The 23,388-nt window shown below is 45.8% G+C and overlaps 1 protein-coding gene and 1 non-coding gene across 3 annotated transcripts in view, besides 5 other annotated features; both read right to left on the bottom strand.

The window, feature by feature from the left end:
• Positions 1-23,388, bottom strand: part of YPEL2 (yippee like 2) — a 70,075-nt gene that overhangs the window by 25,375 nt on the left and 21,312 nt on the right. For both annotated transcript variants that reach the window (NM_001005404.4, XM_017024621.2), the window contains exon 2: positions 22,829-23,140. In NM_001005404.4, coding sequence (NP_001005404.1) covers positions 22,829-22,945 — 117 coding nt within the window. In that variant the 5' untranslated portion in view covers positions 22,946-23,140. The remainder of the gene's footprint in view (positions 1-22,828; positions 23,141-23,388) is intronic.
• Positions 5,712-6,211: an enhancer, noted in NCBI's record as "H3K4me1 hESC enhancer chr17:57447505-57448004 (GRCh37/hg19 assembly coordinates)". NCBI's record gives its function as "activates a minimal SCP1, AML or CMV promoter by ChIP-STARR-seq in naive and primed H9 embryonic stem cells {active_cell/tissue: H9 hESC(naive and primed)}" and the evidence as "EXISTENCE:reporter gene assay evidence [ECO:0000049][PMID:30033119]".
• Positions 6,212-6,713: an enhancer, noted in NCBI's record as "H3K4me1 hESC enhancer chr17:57447003-57447504 (GRCh37/hg19 assembly coordinates)". NCBI's record gives its function as "activates a minimal SCP1, AML or CMV promoter by ChIP-STARR-seq in naive H9 embryonic stem cells {active_cell/tissue: H9 hESC(naive)}" and the evidence as "EXISTENCE:reporter gene assay evidence [ECO:0000049][PMID:30033119]".
• Positions 8,313-8,607: a silencer, noted in NCBI's record as "tiled region #10372; K562 Repressive DNase unmatched - State 9:DNaseU". NCBI's record gives its function as "represses a minimal TATA promoter and a strong SV40 promoter by Sharpr-MPRA in K562 cells {active_cell/tissue: K562}" and the evidence as "EXISTENCE:reporter gene assay evidence [ECO:0000049][PMID:27701403]".
• Positions 9,164-9,933: an enhancer, noted in NCBI's record as "OCT4-NANOG-H3K27ac hESC enhancer chr17:57443783-57444552 (GRCh37/hg19 assembly coordinates)". NCBI's record gives its function as "activates a minimal SCP1, AML or CMV promoter by ChIP-STARR-seq in primed H9 embryonic stem cells {active_cell/tissue: H9 hESC(primed)}" and the evidence as "EXISTENCE:reporter gene assay evidence [ECO:0000049][PMID:30033119]".
• Positions 9,934-10,703: an enhancer, noted in NCBI's record as "OCT4-NANOG-H3K27ac-H3K4me1 hESC enhancer chr17:57443013-57443782 (GRCh37/hg19 assembly coordinates)". NCBI's record gives its function as "activates a minimal SCP1, AML or CMV promoter by ChIP-STARR-seq in primed H9 embryonic stem cells {active_cell/tissue: H9 hESC(primed)}" and the evidence as "EXISTENCE:reporter gene assay evidence [ECO:0000049][PMID:30033119]".
• MIR4729 (microRNA 4729) lies at positions 10,201-10,272 on the bottom strand. The gene has a single exon (NR_039882.1). It is a non-coding gene; the product is annotated as a microRNA 4729 (primary transcript).

Below are 23,388 nucleotides of genomic sequence, written 5' to 3'. Positions count from 1 at the left end.
CCAGCTACTAGGGAGGTTGAGGCAGGAGAATCACTTGAACCTGGGAGGCAGAGATTGCAGTGAGCCCAGATCACGCTATTGCATGCCAGCCTGGGCGACAGAGAGAGACTCCATCTCAAAACAACAACAACAACAAACCCACAATCAATAAATGATGACAGAGGTCCAGGCAGTCTGGCTCTAAAGTCTAGGGAAGAATGAAGATGGGGTCATGAAGGTGTCATCCCAATGACTTCCTAAAAAGAAGGGAGCCTAAACAGAATGAGACTAAAACTGACAGGTATATAGGATGTCAGAATATGCAAAACACTTTCACATGTGAACTGATAAAACCTCCAAGACAGAGGAGGAAACTGAAGCCTAGAGCTGTTAAACTTCCCCAGTTTCACACAGCTTGTAAGTCAAGGTCAGAACTTTAAACCCACAGCTTTTGACTCTAAGTCCCAAAATTTTTCTAGAGGGTATTCACTGGAAAAGTCTGTCTCTCTGATGAAGGAGGATGGCTCACTCTGTTAGAACTTATGAAAATCTCTTAGGCTATTCAAATTTCTCTGCTCTGATTCCATATTGACTTAGCAATCGCCTAAATTTAATTCTCTCGCTCAAGTGGGTTTACCTTCAACAAAGACAACATACAGTCCAAGCTTTCAGGATTATCTGCTCCACTGTAAATTAATGAATTAGAATTGCAGTTTCCAAATTAATTTCCTGTGAGTTGTGTTACTGTGAATCACTTCACCAGAGCTTGATCACTCGAGTGAACGGATAATATTAAATTTGTAGACCTGCAATGCTTAAGGCTGTCTGAGGACCACCGAGGGAACACCCTCTGAGTCCCAGCCTAAAAACAGCTTTTTCATCTCAAGACTGAATGAATGATTCTAATTTAAAATCTCTTGGAAACAAATAAGTAAAAGCTAAGAAACTCTAAATCCCTTCTTGCTTTGGCACCTGGACCACATAGCAAAGAACTAGCAAAGAATACTGAAGAATGCTTCAGGAGTTGCAAAGAGAAATATTTAAGTAATTACAGGCCACTGGAATCTCATGCAGTGGGCTGTAGTTTGGGTACAGTGAAGGATCTCAAAGGAAAACATACATACATGACTTTATCCAGTTTTAAATACACTCACAGACACTGGGATTTGAAAGACCCCTCCCTATGCGCAAAGGTCAACCATGCACCTGAAGCATGGCTCTCCCCCACATTTCTACCAAACCTCTCCTTGAATACTTTCAGGGGCAGAGAACTCACTACCTCCAGAGGAAGCCCATTCTACTGCCAATCACTCTGACAATGCCAAAATTCCTTATGTGAGCTGAGCTCTTTCTCCTTAGAGCTTCCTGATTCCTCCATCTTTAGATCCTTGGCACTGTAACACTTCAGGTCATAGATTTAAAGCTCTTATCTCTCCCACATCAGGTTTTCCTTCTATGGGCTAAACTTCTCCCAGTTTAGTAGCTTGGTAGAATGAAGAATTATGTAGTTGGATAAACTGACTAGGTTCAGTTCCCAGTTCTAGCACTTCCTCTGCCACGTACTCTTGGTTTGTTCGGCTTTCGGGTCAAAAGTTCCTCATCTGTGAAATGGGATAACAATATCCACCTTCTTCCTACCGGTCCCTTCAAATTTTCCCTATGTGGCCTGGTCTGACCATGTTCACTATTGTTTTCTACACCTTTTTCATTTCATACTAAAAGGTGTTCCCTAGACACTTCCTACACTTTCCTTCTAATGTTAATCAAAGCACCAGGCCTTACTGAAACAATTAATTGGGCTTCAGGTTACATGCACAAACCGAAGTACATTGTGACTGTCCCTGCTGTGGCAGTTGTCCAACATCAGACTTTCCTCTGGTGAGCGCCATTAGCATATATCCACCTTCAGCCTCTCTATTCCAACCCTCTGGGACTGGATTCAAGAGTAGAGTTATGTGAAACAGTATCAAGGAAGAGACAGTGTTACTTGAAAGGGTCATGGTGGTAAGAATTATGGTGGGGACTGAAGAACTCCTAGCCAAAGAGCCTTATGAAAGAGACATGGGCATATAATTATTAGAAGGATTTGAGCATAGGGTGCTTGCCAAAATGCAAGAGCACACACTGATGCTTCTTGGTATTCCCTCTAGAAATGGAACATAACTGGGTCAGAATAACCAGACTACCCACTCCAACCCTGCCAGGCAAGGCTAGATCATCTGCCTTCAACTAGGATGGTGTCCTTAGCTAGAACCCCGATACTCTGAACTGGGATTGCATCATCTGTGAAATGAAGGGATTGAGCAAGGTCTCTTACAAGGGTGAACATTCTGTGAGTCCATATTCTCAAGAGAATAGATGCCTCGCATATTAAATGAACATTTCTGACTCAGACTTCTCTTGTGTTTTCAAACTTCCTGTTTATCTGCGTAAAAAGCAAGTCTTTTCTGCTCATCAGATGACCGACCTTATCTGATAATTCCTTAAGACTCCCATCCTTAGACATAGAAACATAAATCCCTTCCACTTATTTGGGTGCTCAATCTTTCTTGGCCAACGCAAGTGCCTGACTTACTGTGAAATATCAAGCATTGGAAAATCATCTCCTGAGCAAAACAGCTTTGAGTCCCACTAAAGCGATCTCTGATGGTAAAAAAAATTACAGGGAAACCCAAGTGTCCAACAAGAAGGGAGTGACTCAGAATGTTGTGATAGGGCCACATGAAGAAATATTGTGTCTCCATGATGATCAATCAACAAATATCTAATGAGCAGCCATGTCCGGAGCCTTGCTGGGCACCGCAGAGAGTATATAGCTAGTCCATCTAGCCACCTAGAAAACGGGACTAAAATACATTAAGTCTAAAGCAGTATAAATCGCGGCAATAAATTATGGCTGTTAAAGGAGTTCAGAGAAGATGGATGGGACAGGAGGAGATGAGAGCGCTGTAGGAGGGCTGATCACAGCAGAGGGCTTTCATGAAGAGGAAGTAAGGTCAAAGAGGCTGTGAGGCCTTGAAAGCCAGCAGAAGCCCCCGGCAACCTACTCCACCTATCATGATTAAGCAGCTGGAAGTGCATCTGTTTTGCTGCTAAGGACTCCTCAGTACAGTCCAGCTACATCCCCATCTCTTTCCTACGGAGAATAACAACTCGAGGAGAAATCAATGGTGGCCCTGAGATGTTTGCAACATATAATAATAAAAATAGGCTGGGCACAGCAGCTCACGCCTGTAATCCCAGCACTTTGGGAGGCTGAGGCAGGTGGATCACGAGGTCAGTTCAAGACCAGCCTGGCCAACACGGTGAAACCCTGTCTCTACTAAAAATACAAATTACCTGTGTGTGGTGGCACACGCCTGTAATCCCAGCTACTCAGGAGGCTGAGGCAGGAGAATCACTTGAGCCTGGGAGGCAGAGGTTGCAGTGAGCCGAGACCATGCCATTGCACTCCAGACTGGGCAACAGAGCCCATGTCAAAAAATTAAAATAATAATAACAACACTACACTGTATGTCCCATGTTCTGATACTGCCTCGGGGCATTGTCATAAGCACTATTTACTTTAACTTCTCACAACCACCTTGGGTATGAGGAAAGGCAACAGTGGATGGGGACAGAGTCAGTCCTAGGACACACATCTTACAAGGCTCCTGCCTCTCTTAGGCATCTGCTTTGTGTGGTGAGCATTGTCTATTGTGCCCACATCTAAACACAGGGCATTCTTATCACTCTTCAATGCACAAATATTTCCTTACTGAAGGGAGCGGAGAGGGTGTGGGATCCTTAGCAGCACTGGGCAGTAAATCTGAAAGCAGAACTTGTTAGTTTCTAAACAAGGACCAGCCGGTTAGACCACAGAGTGGGTGTTTCCATGCAAATTCCAGCACTTTCATGTTGCTCCATGAACTGAGCCCAGCCAGGACAGCAAGCCATGCTTTTTGTATTTTACTTTTTTGCAACCAGCTAAGGAGTCTTTGATTGGGCCTAGAGAGGGACTCAATTAGCATCATGGAAACAGAGGAGATTTCAGAAAGGAAAGGTCAGCCACAAGCCTAGCATTTGCTATCAGCCATCTGCCAAGCAGGAAGTGCTACTCAGATCTATTTTTAATCATCTTCCCCAGGCTAGGGCTTCTGGGAAAATTCAGAGGCCAGGGTTATTCCAAGACAAACATTTAATTGCTACCTTTCTGTACACATTTTAAAACAGCCTCTGGACACTCAAGACCAACTTATACACAGAGGCCCAGTTTCTGGGTTCTGTCACTCTGGTACCTACATCCAAGGTTATCTTTGGAAGCCATGATGGGGGACCTCTCCTTGGGGACTGTCTGGGATATCAAGTACTCCACATAATGTAATAATTCCTATAGCCAGCAGGTTTCAGATACTTGGTTACAAGTGACAGGAAGAGAGGAGGAGGTGGGAATTCAGGTCCAAGAGTTCATGTTCATTCCCCAAAGAAGTGAGACCAGTGAAGTGAACTGTGCAAACTTCCTCGTCACTCCCATATTCATTTTAAGCACATTTATCACTTTAGAAAGGTAAATTAAAACCAGTTCATCCAGGCAGTAATCTCATTTGTTACTAAAGATATTGACTGGCTAAAGAAACAGGAGAGGTTTCATCTTAATTCCCAAGGCCCCAGTCTGTGCTGTGGCTGGTGCATCCAGGCATGAGAACATTCTGTCCACTGGCTCCTTCTCCCTCCTGTCTCGCGGCAGGGCTATGTCTCAGTTCAACCCAGCCCAAGGAATGAAACATCTCTGAGAGGTCTGGACAGGGAGTCTGGCACAGCCAGGGCAGACTCTGCAGAGACAGAGCCTGGCTCAGGCAGCCCCTGCATTCTCCAGCTCACACAAACACAGAGTTTGCTTGCCTCTCAACACTTACAAACTTTCAGCCTCCAATTTCCACCCCAAGGTAAAGCCGGAGCATATGTACGATTGTGCCCCAGCCAAGCCATGTTCCACCTGCCACTAAAGAAGTGGAGGATTGGGGACAGGCAGCTGGTCACCACCCAGGGCCTGCCCCATCCAACACGATACTGGGGAGCTGCAGAGCCCACTATGCCTGCAGACAAAGGGGTCTGCTCAGCATTCTGCCCACCTCCGACCTTCCCCCTTCCCTACTGTTAGAAGCTTATCTGTCTGCAAGCAGCCGGTGGGAAAGCTAAGCCGAAAGGGCACCTTGGCCATGGGATCTTTGCCTAAGGATGTGAAACAGGAGACTGGGTATTTGGGGCAACTTAACACCAGCCAGAGCCCAGCCAGCAGGCCAGGGAGGAAGGGACCGACTAGACAGGCCTGTGCTTCACAGGAGCTCTAACTCCCTCGGCTGGGGGCTGGAATCCCTCCTCCCAGTGTGCGGAACTCTACTCTAGTAAGGTGGGGGCACACATGCTCCTGGGGAAAATAAAACAAAAACAAAAAAACAAAAAAGGGCCACTGCACAGGGTCACTCCCCCTGACCCAGTTGGACTACACATTAATTGGGGCTTCTGAGCCCTGCTGACTCTTGAGTTCCTCTTGTCTGGTTTCAGCAGAGAAGGGAGTTAATCAGCAAACAGCTTAAGGAAGGATAACTCTCTGCCCCTGCTGAGGGCCACCTGTGCCCCTCCTCTGTGTGCCATGGCTCGATGGGCCAGCAAACCCTATTGAAACAAACAGCAAAGAAACAAGCCGAAGCAATCTGGGGTGCCATGTTTGGTCCCAGTGTAAGACGCCAGGAACAGGGGGTTACCTGGAGATTTCAAAGCGAGGCAGACAGTCTGAGAAGGACCAATGGAAGGGCTTGTGTTGGGTTCCTCTGTTTAGTCAAAGCAAGAAATAGGTTGTGTGATACAGCACTTAATGGTAGACCCTGAGATCAGGCCTGAATTTACATTCTAGCCTGCCTGGCCTGAGGACCAGTGAAAACCAGAATATATGACAGACCGTTTTGCTGCTATTTCATTTGTTCTGACCTGATAATAAAAATCAGAATCATTAAAAAATAAAAATAAAAATTCTGGCTGGGCGCAGTGGCTCCCACCTGTAATCCCAGCACTTTGGGAGGCCGAGGCGGGCGGATCACGAGGTCAGGAGATCAAGACCATCCTGGCTAACACAGTGAAACCCCGTCTCTACTAAAAAATACAAAAAATTAGCCGGGCATGGTGGCAGGCGCCTGTAGTCCCAGCTATTCAGGAGGCTGAGGCTGAGGCTGGAGAATGGCGTGAACCCAGGAGGCAGAGCTTGCAGTGAGCCCAGATCGCGCCACTGCACTCCAGCCCAGGCGACAGAGCGAGACTCCGTCTCAAAAAGAAAAAAAGAAAAAAATTCTGGTTCTGCCATTTCCTAGCTGGGTCTCCTTGGTCAACTCAATCTGTCTGAGCCTCACATTCCTCATCTAAAAATGGAGACAACAGTAGTACATCTCTCTTTGGATTAGTCTGAGGCAAAAGACATGATTCACATATAACATGCCTAGCACAATGCCTGCCCCTTAGTAGACACCCAGTAAAATGATGGCTATTGTTAGGATAATTAAAAGAAGGCCTCCAAAGAGCTGTTTCCTTTTTCAAATAAAGGTCAGTCAAAACCACTCTTTGGACCTCCAGGGAACTACTACAAGTGTAAAGTGCTGGATGGCAGGCAGCGGACATTAGGGACAGCACGTGTATCTTCCAAGTACTGAGAACGCTTGTCCTAGAGCTGTGGCTCCCAAATATTAGTACTGGTTACATCAGACCGGGACAGGGATACTCGTTAAAATACAGATCCCCAGTGGGTCTGGGACTAGGGTCAGGCGAGCCAGAAGGCTGGAACATGAAATTTAAGGAGGCACTGTTTGTGGGGTGCTGACCCTGTACTGTACAACTCTGAGAGTGAGTGTCTCCTTAAATCTTGTGTCCTAGGTGACCTGCTTCCCTCGGCCATCAGGGCCCTGATTCCACAACACTCTCAGACCCTCAGAAAAGGAATCTGTGAGGTGGGGTCTGGCAATCTGCCTTTGTATCTCAGGTGATTCTGATGTACTGTCAGATTTGGGAATCACTGTCCAAGAATCCCCATTTTCCAATGCCTGTTTCAATGATTCTCTAAATACATAAAGACTGCAGAAGCTACTTATTTCCACCTTCACTTGGCCGTATTCCAAACCTCATGGCTACACCAAAGCCACTGGAATTCTGCAACTGAATTCTCTCTTTAAATTTAGAGAAAAACTCATCAACAGGGAGTTGCAATTGCCCGCTTTCAATGATTTGGGGAGCCTTACTCAAGAAGCCAGGAGTGTCAGATGAGACAGAGGGCCCAGGACCTGCAAACCCCCAGACCTCCATGAACTAACAAAGGCCCTCTTCTTAGAGTTATGACTGCCTGCTGTTTGCCAGTGATCTACCTGCTTGCTATTTAGCTGAAGGCACCACCAAGGAGGGACCCAGCCTGACTATTTTTAAACAGCTATGGCATGTTATCAATGCCCACTACTCCACAACATCAACATTGTATAATCACACAAAGCTCAAGGATACATGGTTTACAGAAGCTAAAGAAGTTGATTTTCCAAAATAGGCTATGTTTTATTCTCATCCAATCTCAATAAAATCCTATCACTCCTTTGCTTAAAACCTTTTAGCAGCTCCTCACAGCATCCAGAACTCTGTCTAAACTCCTTAGTTTGGCCTTCTAGGCCTTGCATGATCCACCCTGACCTGCTTCCCTAAAGCACAGACTCCCCATCTGTCTTCCCTGTGGTCCCTGGACTTGGCCTCGTGTCATGTTTCTCTGTCTCTGCTCAGAATGGACTCCTCTTGTCTTCGTCTTCTTGTCCACTTAGTAAATGCTTCTAAACACTCATCTTAGTAAACATTCATCCTGCTCTTTACCCTCATAACATCTGGAACAATCACTTACAGTGAAACAATGACTGTGTTTCACTACATTTTATCACTGTTTATCTATTTGCCTTCCCCATTAGATCATAAGCTACTTAAGGGCAAGAATTCCAGGCAAGTGCACGGTTCACGCCTGCAATCCCAGCACTTTGGCAGGCCAAGGCGGGCTGATCACTTGAGCCCAGGAATTTTAGACCACCCTGGGCAATATGGAGAAACCTCATCTCTACAAAAAATAGAAAAATTAGCCGGACATGGTGGCGCATGTCTGTAGTCCCAGCTACTCAGGAGACTAAGGTGAAAAGATCATCTGAGCCTGGGAAGTTGTGGCTGCAGTGAGTTGTGATCATGCCTCTGTACTCTAGCCTGGGCAACAGAGTGAGACTCTGTCTCAAAAAAAAAAGAGAATTTCATCCATTTCTGTATTTGTATCCATTTCTGTATCCCCAGTGCTTCATACAGTAGGATTTAATATATGCAGGGTGATGAGGGAGGTTAAGTGACTTGCTCAATGCCACACTGAAAATTTAGCACAAAGCCAGGTCTGGAGCAGAGGTGGCTTGACCCTCATTCAAGGCTTTTCAAATGGTGCCACAGACTCTCCTCAGCAGGGCCCCACACTGTCTTCCCATTACAGTGATGACACTGTAGGAAACTATGTGCCCTATCTGGCTTGATCACCTTGTAACCTATGGTGGGAACCTGTGGGTGCTAGACGGCTGGGGCTGAAGTCTGGCCTATGGAATAGAATTCTCACCAGGGTGTCAATTAAGACCTTGTCAATTAGCACAGTGCCTCAACCCCTACACTCTTCATACAAGCCACCATGCTGGTTTGAGATTCCTCTTGAAATCACAGAAACCTATTTCTCCAACACCCATTTCACAACAGTCATTCTAATCATCTTACCTAGGGTTAAGTAAACCAGTCCAAGGGCCTAATTGGGCCTTTCACCTGTTTTGCAAATAAAGTTTTTCTGGAAAACATCCATGCTCATTTGTTTATATATTCTCTGTGGCTGCAGATTTGAGTGGAGACCCTATGTCCAGCAAAGCGTAAAATACTATCTGGCCTTTATAGAAAAAGTTTTGCAGACCTTTGGATCTAGCCCAAAAAACAGGGAATCAAGACTGCAAACAGCCCCTCCCTTCTACCAAGGGACTGGCTGCCCCTACTCTGGAAGTTAGTGAACCAACTGGCTTTTGAATGAAGTCATTTCTTTTTTTAGCCCTGGTTACAGGCCTGGGATCCAGGAGGAGATTTTGCCTGTCAGAGGCACACAGGGACCTGCAACACCTAGCACATGGCCTGGCACATAATGGCACTCAATTAATGTTTACTGAATAAATAAACAAAGACATGAGAAATCAGCCAGGCTGAGCCTCGAACAAAAGTCCATACTCCTCCTGTCAGTTTCAAGGTGGCCAGTCACACAGGTACCTGGCAGCAGCCGGGTGACCTAGATTTGTCAGACCTTATCTTATTGGCTTTCCTTTCTCGTGTATTTACCCAGCACCTGCCCCCACGATGCTCAGAGCAGGTTGGCCTCTTGTTTTTATAGAGAAAGAGATGGACAGGGAGGAACTCTCCTCCCACACAGACACACTTTGTGTTTTTTCTTTTTTTCTCCCGCTGCGGGAAGAATCAAGAAATATGGGGGCTTCGAGCTTCAAAAAGCTCCATGAAGTCTAGTTTCACTGGCTTCCTCTCTCCTCAGGCTTCCTAGGTGAATGTTTCTGGCATGAACCTTAACGGCCCTCTCAGAGTTGTACCTGTCGTTTGGAACATTTGGCATCTGAAGGGGAAAGGCCAGCTGTGGATAAAGCTGGCAGCTTTCAGAAGGTCAGGAATGTAAACAAAGCAGCCCCCACCCAGTGGGGAGAGGCCTGGTCCTGAGAATACAGACATTCCTCCAAAGATGCATCAGAGAACAAGGGGCTGCCCGACTCGGCTGGGCTAGCTCAGGCCGACTCTGCAGGGGAGGACAGGGACCATCAGGGAAACAAAAGGCACTTCAGCCTCTCATGAAAATTAGGCAAACTGAATGGAAAGCACTATGGAAATGCTGGTTTTTCAGCTGCCCCGGATAACCTTAGGGGCCAGGCTCAGGAAGGAGATCCTTGTTGCTGCTGCCACCAACCGCTTTTTCAGGTGCTGGGTCTTCCAGGAACCAAAGGGTACCGTGTGACAGGCTCAGTGAAGGCAAAGCTTGCATCTGTTTGCCACTGTAATTCCCAGGGTCTAACACGTAAGAGGAGCTCACACAATGTGGAATAAATGACAGGGCCCTCTGCAGGAGGGTTTGCTCAGGGATTTTTTGTTTTGGTGAGGAAACACTTTTCTGTTTCCTCATTTATCTGCTGGGACGCTAAGGTCACAGTTAGCTTCCCAACAGATAAATGAGGAAACAGAAAATTGCTCTTGGTGGAGCCAACCCTAACAAGAAGGAAAAGGAGCTCCTGGGCCCCCAAAGATAGAGAATTTTCCTTTTGATGATCATAATTTACCCCTTCAAAGACCCAAAGGTGTCAGGGGCTAAAGGGGAGGGGAGAACTAGTGCCACCTGCTCCACCTCTTGACATCACTGTAGTCTGGAGGGGAGGGAGTTTATGGACTGATTAGATGTTGTTGTTTCTAGCGGCAGCTGGCAGAGCCATCTCCTCCTCTCTTCCTCTCCCCCTCCTCCTCCAACTCACTGTCCAGCCACCAGCAATAAGCCAGGGAGAGGAGGGAAACAGCTAAAGCTCCCCTTGGCTGGGCAGCCCTTACCCCAGAGATAATACTCTGGGTCACCAGGTCAAACCCTCCTCTCAGCAGCTTTGCTGAGTGCTTTGGAAACAAAGGTTATCAGAGATTCTCTTTTGGTTTTGTTCTTTCAAGATAAAGAAAGTGGTTTCTTTCAAAAGATTCCCCCCCACCCGAAGTGTCACAGAAGGAATCAAACTGACAAGCAACTCTCAGCTCCAGCTTCACTCTCCAGGCCAGGGACTTCTCTTCCAGCCGCCTGGGCTGCTGTGTCACAGCCAACTGAGGTCCTCGGGTGGGTCAGAGGCACAGTAACCACCTGACAGACTAAAAGGGAAGGAGGCAGGGACAGGCTTTTCCATTTACATTCTAGAGAGGCTTCGCTGCTGCCTGCAGGTAAGGCCCCAGAAAGCTGTGGTGGAAGGTGCTGCTGCTATTTCATCACCTCCTGAGACCTGCTGGTCCCCCTGGGATAAGGAACAAGCGATTCCATGAGGAGAGGCCTCAAAAGACGACAGATGACAACTGTAGGGCTCAAGGGCAACTGCTGAGACTCTCCAAAAACAAGGGCAACAAGCAAGAGTGCCAGGCTTGTTGGGGTGCCAGGCCCTAGTTCTGTCACTTTCCATTTGGTTTTCTTTAGTGACTATTCATAGAATAACACTAGCTTCCAACATTTATTGAGCACTTATCACGTGCCAGGCCCTGTGGTAAGAACTTCACATCAATAACCTCATTTAATTTCCACAAAAATCCTATCAGGTATCTAATATTACTATTATTCCCATTTGCCAGTGAGGCCATTAAGACGCAAAGGCGGATGGGCGCAGTGGCTCATACCCGTAATCCCAGCACTTTGGGAGGCCGAGGCCAGTGGATCACCTGAGGTCAGGAGTTCGAGATCAGCCTGGCCAACATGGCGAAACCCCATCTTCTACAAAAAATGAAATAAACAAATAAATAAATAAATAGCCGATGTGGTGGCAGGCACCTGTAATCCAGCTACTTGGGAGGCTGAATAGGAGAATTGCTTCAACTCGGGAGGTGGAGGTTGCAGTGAGCTAAGATCGTGCCATTGCACTCCAGCCTGGGTGATAGAGCGAGACTCTGTCTCAAAAAAAAAAAAAAAAAAAAAAAGACACAGAGGGATTACTTAATGTACACAGCTACTAAATGAATAAGCCAGGTGGTTGGGCTCGGAGTTATACCACGAGCTGCTATGTTATATGGCCTCATATCATCTTATGCTACTACATTAGACTCAGAAGACGCAGGGGGGAAGTAGAAGGAACTTTAAAGACAGTCTAACCTATTGCACTCATTTGGATAAATGAAGAAAAGGGAGAGCCAGAGAGATGAACAGTCTTGCCCAAGATCACAGCGCTTGACACTGTCAATCTTCCAGATGCCAGCCCTCTCCCAGGGCTATGTGCACCAGCTATGTGCAAAGTGGTGTGTCGGGGGAGGTGGCAAAGTGCAAAATCAAGAGGCCCTCAGTTTCTCTCTGGGCCTTGGTTTCCTAATCTGTAAAATGAGGAGTTGAACTAGAAACTCCAGGTTCAAAGGTACCTCCAGCCACAAAGTTCTGAGCATCTATGACTCCAGGACATTGAGAATCTTGTTAGGAAGCAAGACAATTATACATAAAAAGTGCACGCAACCATAACAACACAGACCATACCACAAGACAGTCATTAATTTCCAAATGAACAACCAGAGAGTGAGTTCTACAGACATTCAGAGCATCCTATAAGCCAGGAAGACTCACTAGAAGAAAAAAAGATGTGAACTGGTCTTCAAGAATGGGTAGGAACTGAATAGAGAGAGAGGAAAGGAGAAGGATTCACCAAGGCAAAGGAAATGACAGGAGGGAAGAAAGGGTGGGATTTGCCACAAGGATTACTGAGTAAGACCATAAAATAGGCAAGGCCAAAAGAACCTAGGCCACACTGCGAAGCGGTAGCAAAAAGTACATGAGCAGATCTGAATCTGAACCCATCTGGCTTCTTGGTAACCTGGTAACCTATGGCCTTAATCCCCACATTGAAAGGATGTTGTAAAATAAGTGATGGAGTAAGTAAAATACCTAAAGGAGTTCCTGGCACACAGTAGGTGCTCAATAAAGAGGAAAGTGTTCAGCTGGGTGCGGCGGCTCATGCCTGTAATCCCAGCATTTTGGGAGGCTGAGGCAGGTGGATCACTTGAGGTCAGGTCAGGAGTTCGAGAGCAGCCTGGCCAACATGGTGAAACCACACCTTTACTAAAAATACAAAAATTAGCCGGGCCTGGTGGCGGATGCCTGTAATCCCAGCTACTTGGGAGGCTGAGGCAGGAGAATTGCTCGAACCCAAAAGGCGGAGGCTGCAGTGAGCAGAGATCACGCCACTGCACTGCAGCTTGGGCAACGGAGTGGGACTCCATCTCAAAAAAAAAAAAAAGAAAAAAAAAAAGGGTAAGTCTTTAGGACCAGTGTGGTGGCTCACCTGTAATCCCAACACTTTGGGATGCTGAGGTGGGAAGTCTGCTTGAGGTCAGGAGTTTGAGACCAGTCTAGGCAACATAGCGAGACCCTGTCTCTCTCTCTCTCTATATATATATCTATATATACATAGAAACTAAGAAGGTGTTCAATCAATAGTAGCTAATAGCAGCAACATAGATTTTCCATCTTGTGTGTTTGTTACAACACCAAACAACCTTATCTGTAACATTCTTCTACCCTCCATGGTGAGCCTTGCATTCCCTTGTTTCCTAAACATCACAGGCTCTTTAAGTGCAGGAATCATCTTATCCCTACCATCTAGGTTTAAATGTTGTTTAAAGCACAAGAAATATTGAACTGAACAAGTAGTGTATGACAGTGGATTCTAGTCAGCCCCCAAACGCAAACAGCCAAGCTAGCAATGGTGCAGATTTACCATTCCAGAGGCCAGAGGGAGTGCCACTGCTCAAACAGAAACAGAGGGATCCTGCACCCACTCCTTGCTTCCCAGGTTGAACACCCTGATGAAAAAGAGTTTCTTTGGATTTCTGACTGGGAACACAAGCTTGATTACCAGTGTCCCTGCTGAGAGCCTAGACGCTAATATACAAACCAGTCTTATGATTGGAACCTTAAAGGCATCTGCAAACCACAGAGTTAATTTTCAGGGTACGCCTCATCGCTCAAGTCAACATTTCCTTTTGGTATTTAAAGTAACCACACAGAAAGAATCACATTTGAGCAGATTTTGTGCTCCAGCTGCCTGCAGTCTGCAGCAAAAGAAAAACAAAACATAAAGATGATTCACCAGATTTGGTCCCAGCAGCTCCCTTGATACTAAATTGGTGAGCAACTCTATGTGTGCCCAGATCATTAATTTTCACAGGGAGCAGGCGTGACTGTGCGACAGGTCTGCCTCCCATTTAAAGCATGTGACTTCCTGAACCCAATTCCCCTTGTCCATGCCTACACATGATAAACACAATTAAAAAAAAAAAAAAACCATAGAATGCTTCTATTTCTTTGCCAAGCAGTGGTCAATGAGTATTTGCTGAATGACCACCATGTACCTGGAACACATTCGGACCACTGCAATGGACAGACACCACTTGCCCCATTCTAGTCTCTTCCTCACTAGTTCATCTACCACACCACAGCAGCACTAACCATTTGCTGGTCATGTCATTACTTGCTTAAAAGTCTTCAGTAGCAACCAACTGTCAATGGGACAACATCCTAGCTTCTATTCTTCTAATAATCTGGCTTCTACCTACACCTTTAATGTTTTCACAGTTTTTCAACCTCTACCCCAAAGAACGGCTGCTCCCTGTGTGCTCCCTGCCTCTGGCTCTTTGTTCCTGATGCTCCTTTTACCAGCTCCTCCCCATCATTTGAGGCTTCTGCTTCCAGGCACACTTCAATGCCACTTCTTCCACCAAGTCTTCCCAGAACTGCATTTTCTAGAAAGATGGATCTTAAAGTTTGGTTGTGTGTGTGTTTTTTTCCTTTTTTAACCAACAGTATCTTTGGTGGAGAGCCTGATGAAAGCCATGAAACCCTCTCTAGAAAAATATACATGCCCACAGAATGACACATGCAATTTCATGGAGTCCTTGAAGCCAGTCCACGGACCCAGATTGAAACTCACTGATAAAGATCTCTATCTGAGTAATAAGTCATTCACTCAAATATTCACTGAGAATCTACCAGTCTTAGGAGCTGTGCTGCTGCTAGAGACACAAAAACGATGTCACAATCATCTCCTCAAGTAATTCACAGGCTAATGGGAAACATGCGTCATCACACTGTGATAACTGCTTTAAGAGAAACATAAGATGAAGTAGAAACTTCAAGAAGGCATAACATGAATCTATTATCTCCCAAACTAGGATAAAAGTTCCCTGACAAAATTTTTGAGTAGTATTATAATATCTAGAATAGTGCTATGTGCATGCACGCGCACACACACACAGAGTACGTAATTAGTATTTGTGCAAAGACAGAATGGAATCAATAAGATGATAAGAGCAAGTATAGGCACAGTCCCCACTGCCGTCACCCACATACACCAGAAACTCTTCAGATATAGTTAAAATGGTCCCACTGTGGACCAACCGTGCTATACAAATTATCCCAAGCTGCGTGCGGTGGCTCACATCTGTAATCCCAGCACTTTGGCAGGCAGAGGCAGGTGGATTGCTTGAGGTCAGGAGGTCGAGACCAGGCTGGCCAACACAGTGAAACCTCATCTCTACTAAAAATACAAAAATTATCTGGGCATGGTGATGCACACCTGTAATCCCAGTTACTCAGGTGGCTGAGGCACGAGAATTGCTTGAACCCGGGAGGCAGAGATTGCAGTGAGCCAAGATTGCACCACTGCACTCCAGCCTGGGTGACAGAGTGAGACTTTATATCAAAAAAAGAGAAAAAAAATCCCAGCCTAATTCATGGCTCTTTTCATCCTGAACGGGTTCAATCTCTGCCCCTATGGAGGAAAGGTACCATAAGATACTATATACTTTACACGAGCCCCAAATAGTTTCTTTTCACCAAGAAACACTGTAAAGTAACCACATCCCTTTGTTTGGAGACTTTCTGTACAGATTTGATTCACCTGCCACCCCTTCCTGGGTGGTCAACAGATACTTCTAGAGGAGTACAAAAGAGCCAATGCTTCATTAGTAGGAGACAGAGCTTTCAAAGGTCACATAGTTGAAGAAAATAATTAAGTAATTTGGGGTTGGGAAATGTGATTCTCTTTATAAAAGCCAACTTGGTAGAGCATGTCTTGCAACTGGACTTATTGGGTTGTGCTGGAACTCTTCCCTAATTTGTCACTTCTGCCTTGGCTGTAGCTTAGAAGTGATGTCTAAGAATCACTAACACGGCCGGGCGCAGTGGCTCACGTCTGTAATCCCAGCACTCTGGGAGGCCGAGGCAGGCAGATAACTTGAAGTCAGGGGTTCAAGACCATCCTGGCCAACACGGTGAAACCCGTCTCTACTAAAAAAGTACAAAAAATTAGCCGGGCGTGGTGGCGGGTGCCTGTAGTCCCAGCTACTCGGGAGGCTGAGGCAGGAGAATGGCGTGAACCCGGGAAGCGGAGCTTGCAGTGAGCCAAGATCGTGCCACTGCACTCCAGCCTGGGCAACAGTGCAAGATTCCGTCTCAAAAAAATAAATAAATAAAATTTAAAAATTACCTGGGTGTGGTGGCGCATGCCTGTAATCCCAGCTACTCAGAAGGCTGAGGCAGGAGAGTCTCTTGAACTCAGGAGGCGGAGGTTGCAGTGAGCCGAGATCGCACCACTGCACTCCAGCCTGGGCAACAGAGTGAGACTCCGTCTCAAAAAAATAAATAAAAAAGAAACACTGACATTCAACAGCAAAGTGGCAGAGGCACCCACTAGAGCTCAGGCCATACAGAGCAGTTGTTCCCACCCTTCTGTTTCTTAGTACCACTGCTCTGGCAAAGAGCCAGGTCCCACTATTCTAGAAACAAAAGGTTTACTTTTTGAGATAGACATTTATGCCTGCAATCTGATTTTTCCCTCCTCTTAAAACATACTCGAATTTTATTCGAGTATGGTTTTTGTAAAAATCATTATGTCATATATCCACTGAATATCAAAAATTAGAGTTCAATTAACAAAATTAGGGCTAAAAATACCTATTTTGCAAATTAGATAAGTTCATAGAATAATTATCTTCAAGGGCTACATCTCATATTGTATATATTCTTTATTATTTCTTTTCATCTTTATTTTTAATTTTTGCTAACTGGCATTCTGGTCTGATAATATTGTACATATCCTTTATGAATTATGCTGTCTGATGTGACACAGTAGCCACTAACAACACTACTAGTGATATAACTCAATGCTCACTATACCGTTTTCCAGACATCTAGAGAAAAAAAAGAAATGAAGGGATTTTTAGAAATTATGTTCCTATATTTATTATTTACATGAGGTTTTCAGGACACAGATAATTCCATCAAGATTTCAGAGAGTAGTTTTATTGTACATTAAAAACACAAACTGGCTGGGTGCAGTGGGTCACGCCTGTAATCCCAACACTTTGGGAGGCTAAGGCGCGTGGATCGCTGGAGGTCAGGAGTTTGAGACCAGCCTGGCCAACATGGCAAAATCCCGTCTCTACTAAAAATACAAAAATTAGCCAGGTGTGGTTATGTGCACCTGTAATGCCAGCTACTTGGGAGGCTGAGGCAGGAGAATCACTTCAACCCGGGAAGCAGAGGTTGCAGTGAGCTGAGATCATACCACTGCATTCCAGCCTGGGCCACAGAGCAAGACTTCATCTCAAAAAAAAAAAAAAAGAAAAAGGAAAAAAAAAAAGGCCAGGTGCAGTGGCTCACGCCTGTAATCCCAGCACTTTAAGAGGCCGAGGTGGGCGGATCACCTGAGGTCAGGAGTTCGAGATCAGCCTGGCCAAAATGAGAAACCCCATCTTCAGTAAAAATACAAAATTAGCTGGGCGTGGAGGCGGGCGCCTATAATCCCAGCTACGCAGGAGGCTGAGGCAGGAGAATCGCTTGAACCTGGGAGGCAGAGGTTGCGGTAAGTCAAGATTGTGCCACTGTACTCCAGCCTGGACAACAAGAATGAAACCCCGTCTCAAAAAAATAGAAAAACAAACAACAACCAAAAAAAAAACCACAAACTGATGAGCCGTGGGAACTGAGAAACTCTACCTGCCCTGACAGGTAGAGTGGACAGGATGGGTCAGATCTCGGTACTTCCTTAGCACTGCCCCTACGCCACTGCATGGGGGTACTACACTACACTACACTGGTGTACAACACCAGGGCTCAGAGCCAGAGGTGGGAAACCAAGGGCAGAGTCTACCTCTTGGCAGCCACTAGATCAATACAAGGATTCAGAACATCTCACTCCCTGACTCTTCTCAAAGAAATGCTGCATCTAATCTCTAGACAGGAAGGGAAAACCAAAATGTCACCACTGTAAGCCCAATGGAACCCCATAGGGAATAAAAACCACCTGCCTTCTAAATGCTCCCAACCTCAGAAGGACTGCCCAGAGCTTGAAAACAAGTCAGGCCAGGGCTCCTCACACAGAACACTGTGGAGGGGTATGAGGTGGATGGCCCTGGCTCTGAGGCTGTGTGATCTCATTCTGATCACTGAGTCACCCATGGCCTGTCTCCTCATGAAGAGAGGCTTGAATGAGATGACCCATAATTCTAGAAATTCCTTATTTGTCACCAGAAGATAATCTGACCTATAGATCTGACATAACAATAGCGTAAATAGTTTTGGAGACTGAGCAAAAGGTTTCCTCATCCCACCTCCACTGGACTACCCCTCTACAGCACCCTACCACTCCTTTCCTCCAGGACCCAGAGCACTAAAGCAACCGTGTGTTGGCATGAAGTCACAGGGCCCCGAAGTGGGTCTGTGATAGATTAATCCAATTTATCCTTCCTAAATGGCCTACTCCACAATGCCATCAAGGGGTTGGCAGGAGGGAGGCAAAGGGAGGATGACAGACAGAAAATTTTCATACAAAAGCTTTGTGAAGACCCAGGTTTCCATAATAGATTATGTCCACTAAAATGAGTGTTTAGATTATTCTCACTAGGGCTGGCTACTAACTGTTCCAATTGAAGCTATTATTATTTTATAAGCAAAGTATATTTTTATACTAGGGCTTGTACCATTAGGGAAGAAACAACAATGTGAGCAATTCCTCATGCCAACTCAAAATACCTCTGTGTGCAAACACTCCAGCATTTAGACCACAACACCCCCTAAGAAAAAAATTGTAGGATGCCTCAGCACATTCCCTAGATAGTTCTGTCATCAATTCAAGAGTTTTTCCCCCTACCCTCTTTACCATTTTACAGAGAAAATGCCATGTTACCTTTCTACAGACACACTTGGCTTTCTATTACCCCTTCTCATATCCAATCTTGTGCCTCAGGTTCCAAAGTGAAGCCATCTTAGCCAAACTAAAACTAGTTGGTGTCAGGCAGGAATAATCCCCTCCAACCCACCCCCTTGTCTTTTTGTTCTTTTCTTTTGGACAGTAAGGCCAAGAGAAGCAAACAGACTACTTTATATTTACATAAAGGTTTGTAATTTGCAAACCACCCACACATCCATGATCTCAGCTGAGCCTCATAACAATCCAATGAAATAAACCTGCTCTCCCCAGTGAGGCATGCCCACTCCACAGGACTGTTGCTGGGATAGCACATCACGAGCATACACTAGGTGCTGGCTGCTAGAGACATCTGCTATGGTCTGAATGCCTCCCCAAATTCATAGATTGAAACGTTCACCCCAAAGATAATGGCAGTAGGAGATCAGGCCTTTGGGAGGTGATTAGGTCATCAGGGCAAAGCTCTTGTGAATGGGATTAGTGTCCTTATAAAGAGGACAGAGAGAGACCCTTCCCTTCTACCATGTCAGATTAAGTAAGAAAAAGCTGTCTGTGAACCAGAAAGCAGGCCCTCACCAGACTGAATCTGGTGGTGCCTTGAACTTGGACTTCCCAGCCTCCAGAACTGTGAGAAATAAACTTCTGTGGTTTATAAGCTAACTAGTCTATGGCATTTTGTTTTAGCAGCCCTAATGGACTAAGACAGCATTAAACATAGTAAACATTATTTTACCCATTGTATGAGTGAGAAACTGAGGCTTGGAAGTTGGACAATTGATTGCAAGCAACTAGGCCTCTAGGGATCTAAAGCAAGCTGTGAAGGTAGAAAGCCTGGTACTGGATTCTTTCCACCACCATGGCAATACAGACTCCATTTGTTTTTAAAAACTTTCTAACTATACATTTCCATGTAGGCTTAGGCACACTGATAGAAGGGAGCCTGAAGTTCTAGTCCTAGTCCCAGTTCACTGCTGGTCACACTCAGACCTTTGTATCCCCTTCTTCATAATGAAAGCACTCACTTTTTTTTTTTTTTTTGCACCAAACGAATGTCAAGCTTTCAGATGAAAGGCCCTATTACCAGTACAAAGTATCATTTAATTACACTGCTGATCCAGCTCCAGTTATCTGCTTCCCAGCTCCTAACTCCCACTGGGCAGATTCTGAAACTGCATAGGAGATTAAGTCAAGAGAGGAGAACAGGAGAGACATTCTCTCCTTGAACTTTCTTAAATGGAAGAGGGAGGGAAAAATGAAAAGAAAGGCCTATTTTCCAAGGAGGAGGCTGGGGCAATGATCTTTCCATTAGGCAGACCTGCATAAGAATCTATAGATTATTTAACGCCGGGGGTGGCTGTGGAGTGAAATAAAGGAAGCTTTGTGCAATGCCAGCCACAGCTCCCTCAGCTCTCCCCACAGTCAGGCATTTCACCCAACCCTTTAAATCATCAAGCTCTAATGCACCCCATCTGTGTACCGGCCTGAGCCAATGAAATTGAAGCCTGTGCTGACTTTGGCCTGGACTTGTGAATGAGCCTTTCTGCCCCAAAAGGGACAGGAAGGACATGAGGCCAACAAAGTATTTTTTTTTCTCATTACTTGTCTTCTCCAAGGCTCAACCTCCATCTATTCATTTATCATTTACTGAGCTCTTGCCATGGGTCAGGTTCTGACCCCGAGATGTAAAGCAGATATAGGCCATGCCCAAGGATGTATAAGAAAGAGCTCAGGAGAAAGAGGAGGGAGGTGTAGGAGGAGGGAGGTGAAGGAGAACGGACACTCTTGGCTAAGGCACAGAGCCCTGAAACACCCATACCTGCATATTCAGGCGATGTGGCTTGGTTCCAAGTGGCTGAAACAAAGTGAAGAGCTGGCTGGAGACCTACCAAAAAAGCCAGACTCTGCCAAATTGTCAAAGGCCTTGTATGCCAGGCCAAACAGATAAGACATAAATTCTGAAGGCCATTACCATCTCCACATACTCAACTTCTGCCCATCTTACAAGGCCCAGATCAAAGAACCATCTCCTCCAGCAATCCCTCCTGAACACCCACTCAAAGTAATCACTCTTCTCTGAACCTCTGATTTGACATCTTGGACAAGTTTTATGAGTTTCAGCTTCTTCATCCGCATAAAGTATGACTCATGTCAACTACCTTAAAGACTTCATATGAAGGTTAAGTTAACATTGATAAAGTGTCAAGTTGCAGTTTTTAGTACATAAAGGGTGCTAAAATACCTTATTGGTACCTCAATTTCTTATGATACATGGCACTGCTTCCTTGCATTAAAAAAATGATGCCTTGGCTTCCCCAGTAGATACAGGCAAATAATTTCTCTGGAGATTTCCAAAGGGGGGGAAAAAAAAAAAAGGACAACTCACAATTCCCCTACAACTTTGCAAACCCAATTCCAACGTCCAAGAGACCAACTCCTCTCTTCTCTCACTGACACCTCCACACATTCAAACTTCCAGACTCAAGGGGTTCCCCAAAATTCGAAGGGAAGCTGAGAAGGAAGCTAAAGGCTGGCTGAAACATAAGCAGCATAAAGGAGAGGAATTAGCAGAACCATAAAGAAAGGAAAGTGGGGCAGATTCACAAGTCTGGCCAGAGGATAGGACTCTAAGGGGCTGTACGCTTCAAGCTCTGTGGTCACCTTAGACCCTGGAGTAAGGCTAGAACAAGAGGTTCGGTCCTCAGGCCCGATTTGAAAAGCCTCACTACTACAGATGTGTTTGTTTGGGCAGCTTTCTTCACCTCCTAGGTCAAATCAGCCAGCTGGAGAGGACTGTTCTACAAGAGCTGACTAGATCCTTCATTCCTCTCTGGCTGGGGCTACCAAACCAGAGGCAAAGAAAGCAACAGCCACCTTTTCCAGCAGGTCTTGTAAACAGATGAGGAACACATTTAAAAACAAAACAAAAAACTTCGTCTCGGTCTGCGTAAAGATGGGTTGGTTTTTTTTTTTACTTTAATGGCGTGAAGTCCAGGTTCTGGGTAAAGATGCTTTTGTAAGGGAAAAGTCTCCCATTATCTCTTTCTCTTTGTCATGCAGCCTAGTAAAACCTGTTTCTCTTCCCCTGGGAATCTAGGGCCAGGAGGGAAGCAGTTCCCCTGAGAACGCTCCCTGAAGGATCCATTTCCTGAACTGCACAACTGGCATGTTGGTTTATTTACTTATTAATAATCCCCCAGCCCCAACTTTAGAAAGCAGCTGCCTAAGCACCTCAGGAAAAACAGGGTTCCATTCTTCTGATCATGATCAAATGTCATGCCATATTACCTCATGTATGAGCCCTAACGGCCCCCACAGGCCAGAAGGTCAGCTCTTCAACAAGCCACTTTTGGTCCCTGCCAAAAGCCACCCATTTTAGTAATTCCACAGTCTCACAACTTCCTGGTGGCTCTCTCATCTTGCTAAGGAACCCCTCTTACAAGACATTCCCCTGCTTTATCAGAATTCACCTTCTGAGCAGGGAGCACTCTTCACTCTTCGTCCGCCAACCTAAACCAAGCAAGCTGAGAACAAGGCTCCCATCAATCCCCAGCCCCTCCCTTCTCTGGCTTGCAAGCTGCCAGCTCCCAAAGCCTCCAACAAGGATGACACCTCATTTCCAAAATAACAAATTAAATGACTACTCTGTCCCTCCAACTCAGAGTTTTTCTCAGTTGAGTGAGACGGTCACGTGGGTCAGCCCTCCCTGTACAAAGATGGAGTACAAATATTCTTGAGAGCTTGTAAACCTCTGCAACTTCAGGAGCACTAAGCGCCCTCCCCGGGGTAGGCAAGGAAGGCCTGCTGGAAATGTGTACCTTGGAAATTAGTTCATCATGATTGGCCAAGTGAGCTCTGCAGTGAATGCAGCTGTAGGTCCGGTGGCAGGAGGGCAGATATGCCTGGAAAGTCTTCGATCTTGTCATCTTCACCATTGGTGCTGCTGAGTGTGGGGTGAACTCTGGGGCAGCCCACGAGGCACTCCCACAGGATGGGTCGCACGGGAAACACCGGAAGACACAGGTAAAGGCCGTGGTTTGGCAGCGGGTGGGTGTGGCAGGCTCCACACACTGGTGATGTCTTCGGCAGAAGAACCCTCACGCAGAGGTCTAGGGCTAGTTCTCAGCAGCCTGTAACATCAAGGGAAGAGGACTAACATTGGCTGATGGAGCAGGGCTCCCTACAAAGCAAGCAGAATCCAACTGCCACCCATGAAGAAGGCAACACTGACAGGATCAAATGACCCACTTCTCTGTTCCTGGTATCATGCCCAAGATACCCAATGAATGAGAAAGAAACCACTGGAGACTCCAGTCTCGCTGCTTTTCTGGAGTGGGAAGTTCAGTATCATCCCAGCAGTTTCATTAGACACCCAGCA

The sequence above is a fragment of the Homo sapiens genome, chromosome 17 (genome assembly GCF_000001405.40).
Source record: "Homo sapiens chromosome 17, GRCh38.p14 Primary Assembly".
Classification (NCBI taxonomy): Eukaryota; Metazoa; Chordata; class Mammalia; order Primates; family Hominidae; genus Homo; species Homo sapiens.
Note: the sequence above shows the minus strand (reverse complement) of the source record. Positions and strands in the feature narration are given on the sequence as shown.